The sequence below is a fragment of the Homo sapiens genome, chromosome 1 (genome assembly GCF_000001405.40).
Source record: "Homo sapiens chromosome 1, GRCh38.p14 Primary Assembly".
Classification (NCBI taxonomy): domain Eukaryota; kingdom Metazoa; phylum Chordata; class Mammalia; order Primates; family Hominidae; genus Homo; species Homo sapiens.
The window spans coordinates 88,459,348-88,470,503 of NC_000001.11; the positions used below are offsets into that span (position 1 = coordinate 88,459,348).

General features: G+C 42.5%; 1 long non-coding RNA gene across 1 annotated transcript, besides 1 other annotated feature; it reads left to right on the forward strand.

Moving 5' to 3' along the window:
* Nucleotides 1,766-3,478: an enhancer, noted in NCBI's record as "VISTA enhancer hs327". NCBI's record gives its function as "enhancer in: hindbrain (rhombencephalon)[8/10]" and the evidence as "EXISTENCE:transgenic organism evidence [ECO:0001131][PMID:17130149]".
* On the forward strand, nt 3,541-10,415 carry LOC105378839 (uncharacterized). Its single transcript, XR_947573.2, has 2 exons — nt 3,541-4,036; nt 5,506-10,415. It is a non-coding gene; the product is annotated as an uncharacterized LOC105378839 (long non-coding RNA).
* Nucleotides 10,416-11,156: the final 741 nt, after the last annotated feature.

Here is an 11,156-nt window from a genome sequence, read left to right on the forward strand (position 1 = left end):
AGGCTGATTCTTAAAAAATTAGTACGATACTCCAACAAGACATAATATACAACTTTATCTGTTTTGATTTCATTGGGGCATTGAGCTCTTACAGAGTCGTTCATTACAAACTTTACAAATTCTTACTATATAGTGTTTCTGAGGTAGAAGTTGTAAAATTCTAGCCATTATCAGTGAACAGAAGGGGCAGAGATGATTTTAACAAACCAAGGTTTCAAATTCTAGACAAAGCTCGGGATAGACAGTTTATTTCAGGAACCTCCTTCCCACCTTCATCAGTGTCTTCATTCCTCATTCTCTTTTCGTCCTCCCATTTCCTGTCCCCATTCCATCCTCCAAATTCCTCTAACCTCCTTTACATTCCAGCTAACAACTGCTGAAGTACTAAGCAATAACTAATATATTAGTTAATAAGCGATGAAAATGAGATAACCATGATTCAAGGAATATCTGTACTCAGTGAAGCTACTTAGACAGGCCCTCCAAACTGAAAGGTTAAATGACTTATCCTTAATACAAAAAAGACTTAAGGGTCTCCTGACCCTCGGCCTTGTAATTCAACTGCCCAACATTTCCTGGCACAAAACTTCAGCCATCCATCCACAGGGTTTTCCTCCTACCTGGTGAAGCCTTCCTTGCATCCACCCTACCCCATGCTACCACCGCCTTCTTCACTTTGGTAAGCTGCCTTTGGAGGCAGGGCTCAAGGAATCACTGCATGGAGAAGTTTTTCCTAGGTTTCCTGGTCTGCCTTAGATACCCCCAGTGTGGCCCTTCAGTGCTCTGTGCACACATTAGAACATTTGCTATTTCATACAATAATTATTTCATACAATAATAAGTGTTTTCCCCCACTAGCTACACTGTAACCTCCTTACCAGACTTATCAGTCTTTATATTTTCAACATCTAGCAAATTGTCTGGTGCTCTCAGCCCATTAAGGTTAAACAAATGAAAGATTGCAATGAAACGAAAGGGGTTTGGGATACCCACATCTCAGTGGGGGTGGGATAAAAAAATACTGAAAATAGTAATTTAAAATGTTGCCAACCCCCACCATTAAAGATACAACTTCATATGTACAGAGCATATAGCACTATAGTGTTTCTGGCTTTTTTTATTTAAAAACACTCTGATATTAGCCTATTAACTTTTCATTTGTTCCTCTCTCACTAAAGCAGAGCACAAAACAATCCCGTTTATTTAGGCTTCCCAATTGTCTGAGACGCAGATAAATAGGCTTACCGCATTTGTGTGTGCTTTTATGCACTTTAATCCATATATTTCCCAGTTTGAACAAGACAATAAATTAATTCCTGTCTGTTTTAAACTAGTTTCTACTTACTCAAAGATGTCACTACATAACTTGGAGTGGAAAATTTGAATAGTGAAAAAGAATTCCTTGGTCCAGAAGTTAGTATACCTGCAAGTTTTAGAGCTCTCTCTGTCTCTGGCTGACTCTGTGGCCTTGGGAAAATTACATAACATTCATGGACCTCGGTTTCCTCATCTATAAAACCATCTATACAACACAGGAGTTGAACCAGGTGATTTTTAAGAGCCCTGTCCATTTTTAAATTCTATTATTATATAAGTCTTTAATTCTAACATAGAGCAGGTAGACTCTGAAAGTACTGGGAATAACGATACTGTACTGTCAAACAAGGAAGATAATCTCCATCACATGCATTTCAATTTAAAATTCACAGCAAAGTCGAATTTGCACACACTATGTCTGAGTGGCCAAGAGTAATAGAACAAGTATGTGAAAGGAGCAGGAAGCAGGCAGAGGGAACCCATGCACTCTGGGAAACAGTACACAGCCTAAATGTATTTTCTCTCACTGATGTATTTTAAATTTGTGACTATGAATATACCACAGTGAACAGCTTGAAGTTCTTTGGAACAAACATCTTCTAAGGTCACTCCTGAAGGAACTGCAATAATAACATTTGGCATATGCAGATAGAGTGCTTTGCAGACTGGAGCATGGAGAATTATGCTCGGCATGTTCCAGAAAAGATGATCCATGATTCAGGTGAAAAAAATGTCAGGTACATTTTTGACAGTGGCAGCAAACCCAAACAGTGTAACCAAACAATCAATATGGACGCCCTCATTAAAATCCCCCAGTAGCTGCGAGTTTGATTTTCAGCAGGGTCTGGACAGGAATAATAGATTTGGTGGCCTGGAGGAACATTAGAGGTTTTAATAAAAGGAACTTAAAATTACCATTGTTGGCCCTGGTTCCAAGGAAGCCCTGGTTGGGTGTCTGTAACAACACAGGATGAACCTAATTCCTCGCCTCTCGGATTCTTGCTATTCAGCTTAAAATGCCATTTTATGTAAGCCTGATAATTTCTCCTCAAAAATAAATTCATAAAAATTGCTTGAAAATTCCTGATCAATGTTTTCAGCTCACATAGATATTAAACCGAATTTCCTAAAGCCTGAAAAGTTAATTATGCATTCAATTAGAGTTTCTTAATAAAGATTAAAACTCTGAAGTCTATTACAAGCCCATATTTAATTCAACTGCCATTTTATCCACGCCATGTAAGTGTAAGTGGTAACAATGAATATAAATTATAATACACGCCATAGAAAGAATGCTATTTGTCCAAGAACGTTACTATAAAGAATTAAATTTTGCTATCAGTTCCATGATCTAGTTAAAATTGGTATTCTTTATTTGGTCTTTCAATGTAGTCCAATTTCCTACTTTGAAAAACAAATTCTGGGGAATAAAGAAAAGAGATTAATTTATCATTAAGACTCTGCTTAATTGAAGTCAATTCCGAACAAACTTGAATTCAATTTCTGCTCATTAAATTGAATGTGCTCTGCGTTCCTCTCTGCATTGCTTTGAGCAAGCAGCTGAGAACAAGGGACTAACATCAAAATTATTAAATTGAGGAGATTTTATTTGGTCTTCACATGCCAGAGCCGCTTTGATGAGGAGCTGTTTTGGCACTGAAAGGAAAGAAGAGCAGCTGGAGGAAAAATCAAATGAAACTAAGCCTTGGAAAATTGAAGAAAACGCAAGCTTAATAATATTTAATAATTAAATTTCCACAAACAATAGCGGCAAATGAAGTAATCTGCAAAGTCTGTGAACTCATTTGCATAATTGATGCCGGTCCCCTGTAAATGAATAATGAAGATAATAAAAGATGTTGCTAAAAATGGGCACAATAACAGCAAATTTCATCAAGCCGCGCTCTCTGATTAATCTGCTCTTGCAAATCAGCACCGAGAGGGGAGCGCGTGATTAACCGCGCCGAGGACTGCAGCAGGCGGCGGCGCTGCCCTTTCTCTGCGTGTCTCTGGGCGCGTCCTGCCCGCTCCCCGCGCCGCCCGCGCTCCTCTCGCCGCAGCTGCCGCTGGGGCTGCCGCGGGCGCCGCTCAGCCGGAGCGCGCCTCCGCCCGGCCCGCCCGCGCCCCGCAGCAGCGCGCTCGCTCCTTAACCACTTCGCCGCTGCCTTTCGTCGGGGCCGCGAGCGGGGCGACGGCCGCCCAGCGCCCCTGGCACCCCTGATCTCCAGCCGGGGCTCCCGGCCCGCGCCTTGGTGGCTGGAGGCCCAGGATGAGCCTCGATGGCGAGAGGCCCAGGATGCGCCACCAGGCCGGGCTCACTTCTTTGACGCCGAATAAACTGACAAAACAATTAGCTGGCCGGCTGGGGAAGGTGGTGGGTGACTCAAATGCCAGTCGGCTGCGTGCCCCCGCGCTTAGATGAGTCTGGGATTCTGGGCAGTTGGGACTTTCTTTTCAGGAAAGGAGGTGAGAGGTGCCGGGGAAGCCCACACGAGCAGCCACTCTTGGAGAAATGGGGAATGGCGCTGTAAAAGCGCAGGCCCTCCTCCTCCTCCTTTCTCCCCATCACACAAAAAGGATGGGCCTTGAAAGGGATGAGTTTATTATGCACTTTTAAATGCCTATTCAGAAAAGAACAGGAGGCAAAAATAAAGATGCTTCCCACCCCACCAATTCCCTTCCCTCGAAGAAAAAAGGAAAGAGAAAGCAACCCACAAAGGTAAGCTGGGTATTTCAGATTTTGTGTCTTTTTTTTTTTTTTTGGAATCAAAATAACATTTTCCAGTTTGCCACTTACATTTTCGAGTGTATTTTTCTCAGGGCTAACTCTAGGGGTAATAAAATCTCTGGAAGCTATTATGCCCATATACGTTTTAAGCAGGAGTTTGTGAAAGCAACTTTGCTGAGTGCAAACTTGAGACGATGAAACTGAAAATACTTTGAAAAACACACTATCCTGTTCCAATGGAAATGCTGCACTTTACCAGCTCTCTAGGACAAAGTTGTCTCAGGAAAATGAAATTGTTGATAAACCATAGTTCCAGACTGTTACTTCACAGCCCTCAGATTGCAATCAATCGTAGCCCGGGCCTAACAGGACTGACTCCAGCTTTTCATTTGTTTATAGTGTGTGCAATGTTTTATGCTTCAAATGCACCATGTCAACTATGCAAAATGATGCATAATTTTTGTTTGCATCCTGGATCCACCTCCACAATGGTTTTTGTTTAAAATAAAGGTCATGATTGTTTCCCATTATTACAGAATGGAAACCGATCCTAGACATCTGTGAAACGTATCTTAAAAATTCCACTACTGAGTTGGGAAAAGCAGAGAGTTCATGTTTACTTCATTGGCGAAGTCCAGTTGAATCTACTTAACTCGACCAGCTTTAATCCAATCTAATAAACCATGAGCTTGTTCCTGTGTCAAAAAAAAAAAAAAAAAAAAAAGCCAATATGCTGCCCTGAGCCTGTGAAAGTTGTCAGAAACAAAATGGAGTCACTTGTGTTAAAAAATTAATTAATTAATTAATTAAAAGAACCCTGACAAATATAGCTGCAGAAGGCTATGAAAAAAAAGGTTCTCATGCATAAATGCCTGATAACAAAAACTATCACAAAAGACCCTGCAAAAACCACAGTCCTTGCTCAAAAATGATTACAACCTTACACAAAAAATACTTCAGCAAGAACATCCGCCCAGTGACTGCCTATCCAACCTTCGACTGGCATCACCCTTGCTATTGTTATGGGTCTTCATAGCCAAGGATAATTATCTCAAAACAATGATATAATCCTCATTTTTCCTTTAAAAGCCTTTGTCTTTCTTTACCTCCCTGCATGCCTGTAGTTTACTATGGCATGTGTATTCCCATTCCAATGCTCTGTTCCCAAATAAATGTAATTTCCTTTTAGACAGCCTCTCTCTGTTAGTTACTTAGGCTGATAGCCCCAAATTCCATCTTTCGCATTGCCATGTCATCAAATAAACCTGTGATTTTCTTGTTTTTGCTAAGCAAATGGCTTGTGTTGTGGTTAGTGTCTCTAGTGTAACAATCACTTTGTGTTTCCCTGACTCTCCTAAGTACAAAGAAATAGGAACCCCCGCACTTTATGTGGGAAAAAAACAGAGACTGAAAAATTAATTAACTGCCCACTCTCACATGGGTCTACCACCATCTTCCAGGTCTTTCTTTCCAGACCTGTGGTCTCTCCCCACCTCCAGCCTCTTATGGAGAGCAAAGGAAGGAAATGGGAACAGGACTCAACAGCAACATTCCAGGAAAATGAATAGAATGTGGGAACGGTTCGAAATGATAAATCCAGGTGATAGAACGAGTTTCAAAGAGCAAGAGCCTGATGGTAATAGGGAAGCCAGGGGAACGGCAGAGGTTGTGCAGAAGACGACTCTGGCAAAATAAGGACTGTGGAGAGAAAGTAAGTGGCTTTTAAGATCTTAAACATGGGGTCAAAATTATACCATGAGAAGAAAGAAAAAGTCCCTGGGAGTGTTTGTAGACAGACCAAAGGACAGAACGTGAAGAAGGGCCTATGAGAGAATTGGTATCCGGAAGATTGTTTATGTGCAACACTTCTGAGGAATAAAGGGTGATAAACTGTCTCGTGAGAATGAACTACTGGAAGGACGGAGAGACACAAGGAATGGCTGCAGTCAAGGTGAAATGTAGGCCGTTGTGAGAGTTTCATCCCAGGGCATGATGAGAATGCCAGGGCCTGATGCGTGTCAACGGTGCTTCATCTGCTCAGAGAGTGTCCTAAAACCAGTCAGACCCTAGATGTAGAAGTATGCCACCCAATGTCACCTAGCAGTTCAATGCCAGGGAGAGAAAATTCAGGCTTTCTTATCCCCCTTCTAGTGCAAGCCCATGGAATATGCCACTTTCCTAGTTAGGATTTGGAATTGGTCATTGGGAAGGGCTCCGAAGAGAAACTCTGAGAATTGTTGATTTCCATTTCAAATCCCCCTAATGCATAAAATAAGAATGTGTTCTGCGGTGTTCCTCAGCTTATTAACTTTTATAAAAGAAAGGAATGATCTTTGTTGTTACTTGAAAACAGCCACATTTGGAAAGGTCTACGCTACCCAAATGTAATAAAAATAAATTTTAGTTCAATTGGTCAGTCTTGAAAGCTAATTGAACAGTCATGCTTTGTTCTAATTATTCCTGGCTACCATTAAAGTGATGGAAAAGTAAGTACGTTTTTATTGCCAACTCCTTGGGTTTTTTTCTCTTTTTTTAATTTGTTTGTTTTGTTTTTAAATAAGACTAACCAGTTTGGGCAAGGACCTAATGCTCTCTCAGCAGGTAAATTTTGCAACAATGTTTCTGAAACCCTGGGTTCTGGGATGCCGTGTGGGTCTTCATCACTTGCAAAAGCTGTACTCATGGAGCCTGAAATCTAGCTGAATTCTGCATGGGTACAAAATATGGTGTTCTGGTTGACTGGATACCATGATTAACTGATGGTGACAACACACATCATAAACCATTGTCTGATTCTTAAAAAATTCAAAGATCGTTAAAGGAGAGTTAGATGCCAGCTCATCTTACACAGAGCATCAGGCAGAAATTGTTGGTAATCTGGCAAATGAAACTACTCATATCCTATGATGTTCGGTTTGTTTATAGACTGAATTTGCACATAATCGAGAGTTATTTCCTCACAAATAATTTATCTCTAATGAATAATGATGTCTTTGTTGTGAGCTCATGGTCCAAATAGCAAGTTTCCCCTAGTCATAATTATCTACAACTATTATGTTTTCCCATTCAATTAAACTTTTCTTACAGAAACGGAAAATTTTATTAAACTACTCAGAAATGATTAAGAAATTAGCATATAAACTAAAGAAGGCAATATTTAAGTAGGATACCCACAAGCCATTTAAAGAATAATTTATGGATATACAGACACTTTAAACGAGTAAAGATTTTCCCCTACTGGTTATTCGTCCTTTTTCGTGGTAATTTTGCCATCTATGCTCCTCCCAAGCTAAAGCACAAATTATTTATCTTCCCCGATTTGTTCAGGATTTCCCAGGATTTATTTACCACCCGCTAAAAGCAAGTGTCAAAACCCCTGTATCTGCCCTGTTATTTACCCTTCCCTCTAACTGGAAAACCATAAAGAAAATGAATCAAAAGAAAAGCTTGCAATTCTAAATTCTACTCTTACTTTTTTCCTATTGAGAGGTGACAGCGTTCTGGCAGCCCTTGCAGCGCTCGCTCGCTCTTGGTGCCTCCTCGGACTCAGTGTCCGCTCTGGCCATGCTCGGGGAACCCTTCAGCCCGCCACTGCGCTGTGGGGGCCCCTCTCTGGTCTGGTTGAGGGCGGAGCCTGCTCCCTCAGCTTGCCCGGAGGTGTGGAGAGAGGCACGGGCGGGAACTGGGGCTGCGCGCCGCGCTTGCAGGCCAGCTAGAGTTCCGGATGGGCGTGGGCTTGGCGGGCCCCGCACTCGGAGCTGCCAACCGGCCGGCCCGGCCCGGCCCGGCCCCGGGCAGTGAGGGGCTTAGCACCGGGGCCAGCAGCTGCGGGGGGTGCGCCAGGTACCCCAGCTGGGCCAATCCACCCGCGCTGCGCTCGATTTTTCGCGGGCCTTAGCTGCCTCCCCGCGGGGCAGGGCTCGCGGCCTGCAGCTCGCCATGCCTGAGCCTCCCCAGCCCCCGGCGCCGTGGGCTCCTGTGCAGCCTGAGCCTCCTGGACGAGCGCCGCCCCCTGCTCCACGGCGCCCGGTCCCATGGACTGCCCAAGGGCTGAGGAGTGCGGGCGCACCGCGGGACTGGCAGGCAGCTCTACCTGGGGCCCCAGTGCCGGATCCACTAGGTGAAGCCAGCTGGGCTCCTGAGTCTAGTGGGGACTTGGAGAACCTTTATGTCTAGCTAAGGGATTGTAAATAGACTAATCAGCACTCCATATCTAGCTCAAGGTTTGTAAACACACCAGTCAGCACCCTGTGTCTAGCTCAGGGTTTGTGGATGCACCAATGGGCACTCTGTATCTAGCTAATCTGGTGGGGACTCGGAAAATCTTTTTGTCTAGTTAAGGGATGGTGAATACACCAATCAGCATGCTGTATCTAGCTCAAGGTTTGAAAATGCACCAATCAGCACTCTGTGTCTAGCTCAGGGTTTGTAAATACACCAATCAGCACTCTGTATCTAGCTAATCTAGTGGGGAGGTGGAGAACTTCTGTGTCTAGCTCAGGGATTGTAAACACACCAATCAGCACCCTGTCAAAACGGACCAATCCGCTCTCTGTAAAACAGACCAATCGGCTCTCTGTAAAATGGACCAATCAGCAGGATGTGGGTGGGGCCAGATAAGAGAATAAAAGCAGGCTGCCCTAGCCAGCAGTGGCAACCTGCTGGGGTTGCTTTCCACTCTGTGAGCGCTTTGTTCTTTGGCTCTTTGCAATAAATCTTGCTGCTGCTGACTCTTTGGGTCCACATTGCCTTTGTGAGTTGTAACACTCACCATGAAGGTTTGCAGCTTCACTCCTGAAGCCAGCAAGACCATGAACCCACCAGAAGGGAAAAAGTCCAAACACATCCCAACACCAGAAGGAACAAACTCCAGACATGCCGCCTTTAAGAACTGTAACACTCACCGTGAGGGTCTGCGGCTTCATTCTTTAAGTCAGTGAGACGAAGAACCCACCAATTCTGGACACGCTACCACACCAGATTTGATTCAATCAATGTGTACTGAGCACCCACCATGTGACAGACAGACACTCAGGAAACGGGTGAATAAATATGGGCACTGCCTTCCAGGAGTTTTCCCCCACCTGGGTACCTACGTGTACACAAATAACGTTTAGGTAATGTAGTAAATGCAATAGCTGAGCCTAAAAGTTCTGGGATGGTGTCATGAGAAGAAAAATGGGAAAATTATGTGGTAGCTTAATTCATAACCTCGTTGTTAATTTTGTGATGATTTTTTTTCCAACCACAAATGCTATAATCCCTCACCTTCAACAGGTGTGAAGAGGCTCCCTTATTAACAGTTCTAGTAGGCTATTGACAATCACATACTTCATTCTAGATTGTCCCACAGAATGACCTTCTCATTGAACATACCTTGTTCAGCATTCTCCTATACAACGTTGATTTCTTAAGTTGCTATATACTGTATATTGGAAATATTTTAGATATATATCTATGTATACCTAAATATCTACATGTTTCACTCTGGGCATTAGATTACAAGTTTCACAGTGGCTTGAGATGCCATTAAGAAACAAATATTAAAATTATCAGGCAATTAGTAATTGGTGGAAATTCTTGGACCTTGTGATTGGCATTATAAACATCACTGTAGCCTGAGAGGATTGTCCAACAAACATATGATCAATAGCTGCAGGAAACTACAGCTGGAGTGTGTTATAACTTTAAGGGATATGAAGAAAATGTAAAAGTGACTGCCACAGTAGAGTGCCACGAACCTTTATCTGCAGAGACAATGCTCTAACAAGCCTGTGTGCCAGACTCTATTACCTTCACCTGTAACAGGAACCCTACTAAAATGGCTTAACCAAATAAGGATTTGTTTTTCTTTTAAGGGGAGGCATGTGAGGGCTAGTTCAGCAGCCCCACAATTCTATCAGAGACCTAATTTTCTCTCTCTTGTTCATCATCCTTACCATGTAGCTTTTTTCCTTATAGTCATAAGATGGATGCTTTACCTCCATGCATTTTTCTGCATTCTAAGCAGAAAGAATAAAGAAGGGGCAAAGGTGTGTGTGATCTGAGTTTGTCCCTTTTTATAGGAAAATAATAGCTTGCCCAGGGCCTCACCTGGTAAGGTTTTGCATACAAATTATTGGGTAAACTACGTCACACAGCCTTAACTGTAAAAGAATCTGGGGAAGTGAGAAATTTTAACTGGGCACGTAGTTGTCCCAGACAAATCCAGGTAAGGAAAAAAGGGGAAACGGATATTGGTAAAGAACCAGTGTTTATTCAGTTTGTGTTTCCAGTTCTTATAAGTATCCCCTGAGACAAACTAGTGTGTACAACTACCTTGTATTTAAATTCCATGTACTACTGTTGTAAAATAAAGATTCTAAATAATTTTCATTGTATCTTCACTTATCATCACTTTCACATATCATCACTTTCCTTGGGTAGAAGGTAATGTTTTTGTAAATGTATTAAGTGGCCTGACCATTTTTGAAGGCTTGTCAATACAGCCAATATTACTGTAACTAAATATACACACACACATATATGTAAGTTTAAACATATATATTTAAACTTTATTCTGGATCTTGATCTCACACTATGCTACATTTTTGGAAGGACTTTGTGTCCATCCTACTGCCAGAAGTTTATTGGCTAATTTAGAATAAATGAATGAATAACATTAAGAAATGGCTTAATACACAAGACGGGTATGAAAGTAGTTAAGTAACTGCAGGATTGTGATGTGGGTCAGCAAAAGAAGTAGAAGAGTAAGGTGGATGATATATTTTTATCGCTGTATATCTGTCTTCTTAAAAAGCATTAAGTACCTGCACATAGCGCAGTTGTCAAAAGAGATGTTTTACTTGAGTGAACTCTTGATTTTATTAATTCTGGTAGCTACTTTTTTTTGTTGTTGTTGAGATGGAGTTTCACTCTTGTTGCCCAGGCTGGATGCAATGGCGCGATCTCAGCTCACTGCAACCTCTGCCTCCCAGGTTCAAGTGATTCTCCTGCCTCCTCGCCCCGAGTAGCTGGGATTACAGTTGCCCGCCACCATGCCTGGCTAGTTTTTTGTATTTTTAGTAGAGATGGGGTTTCACCATGTTGGCCAGGCTGGTCTCAAACTCCA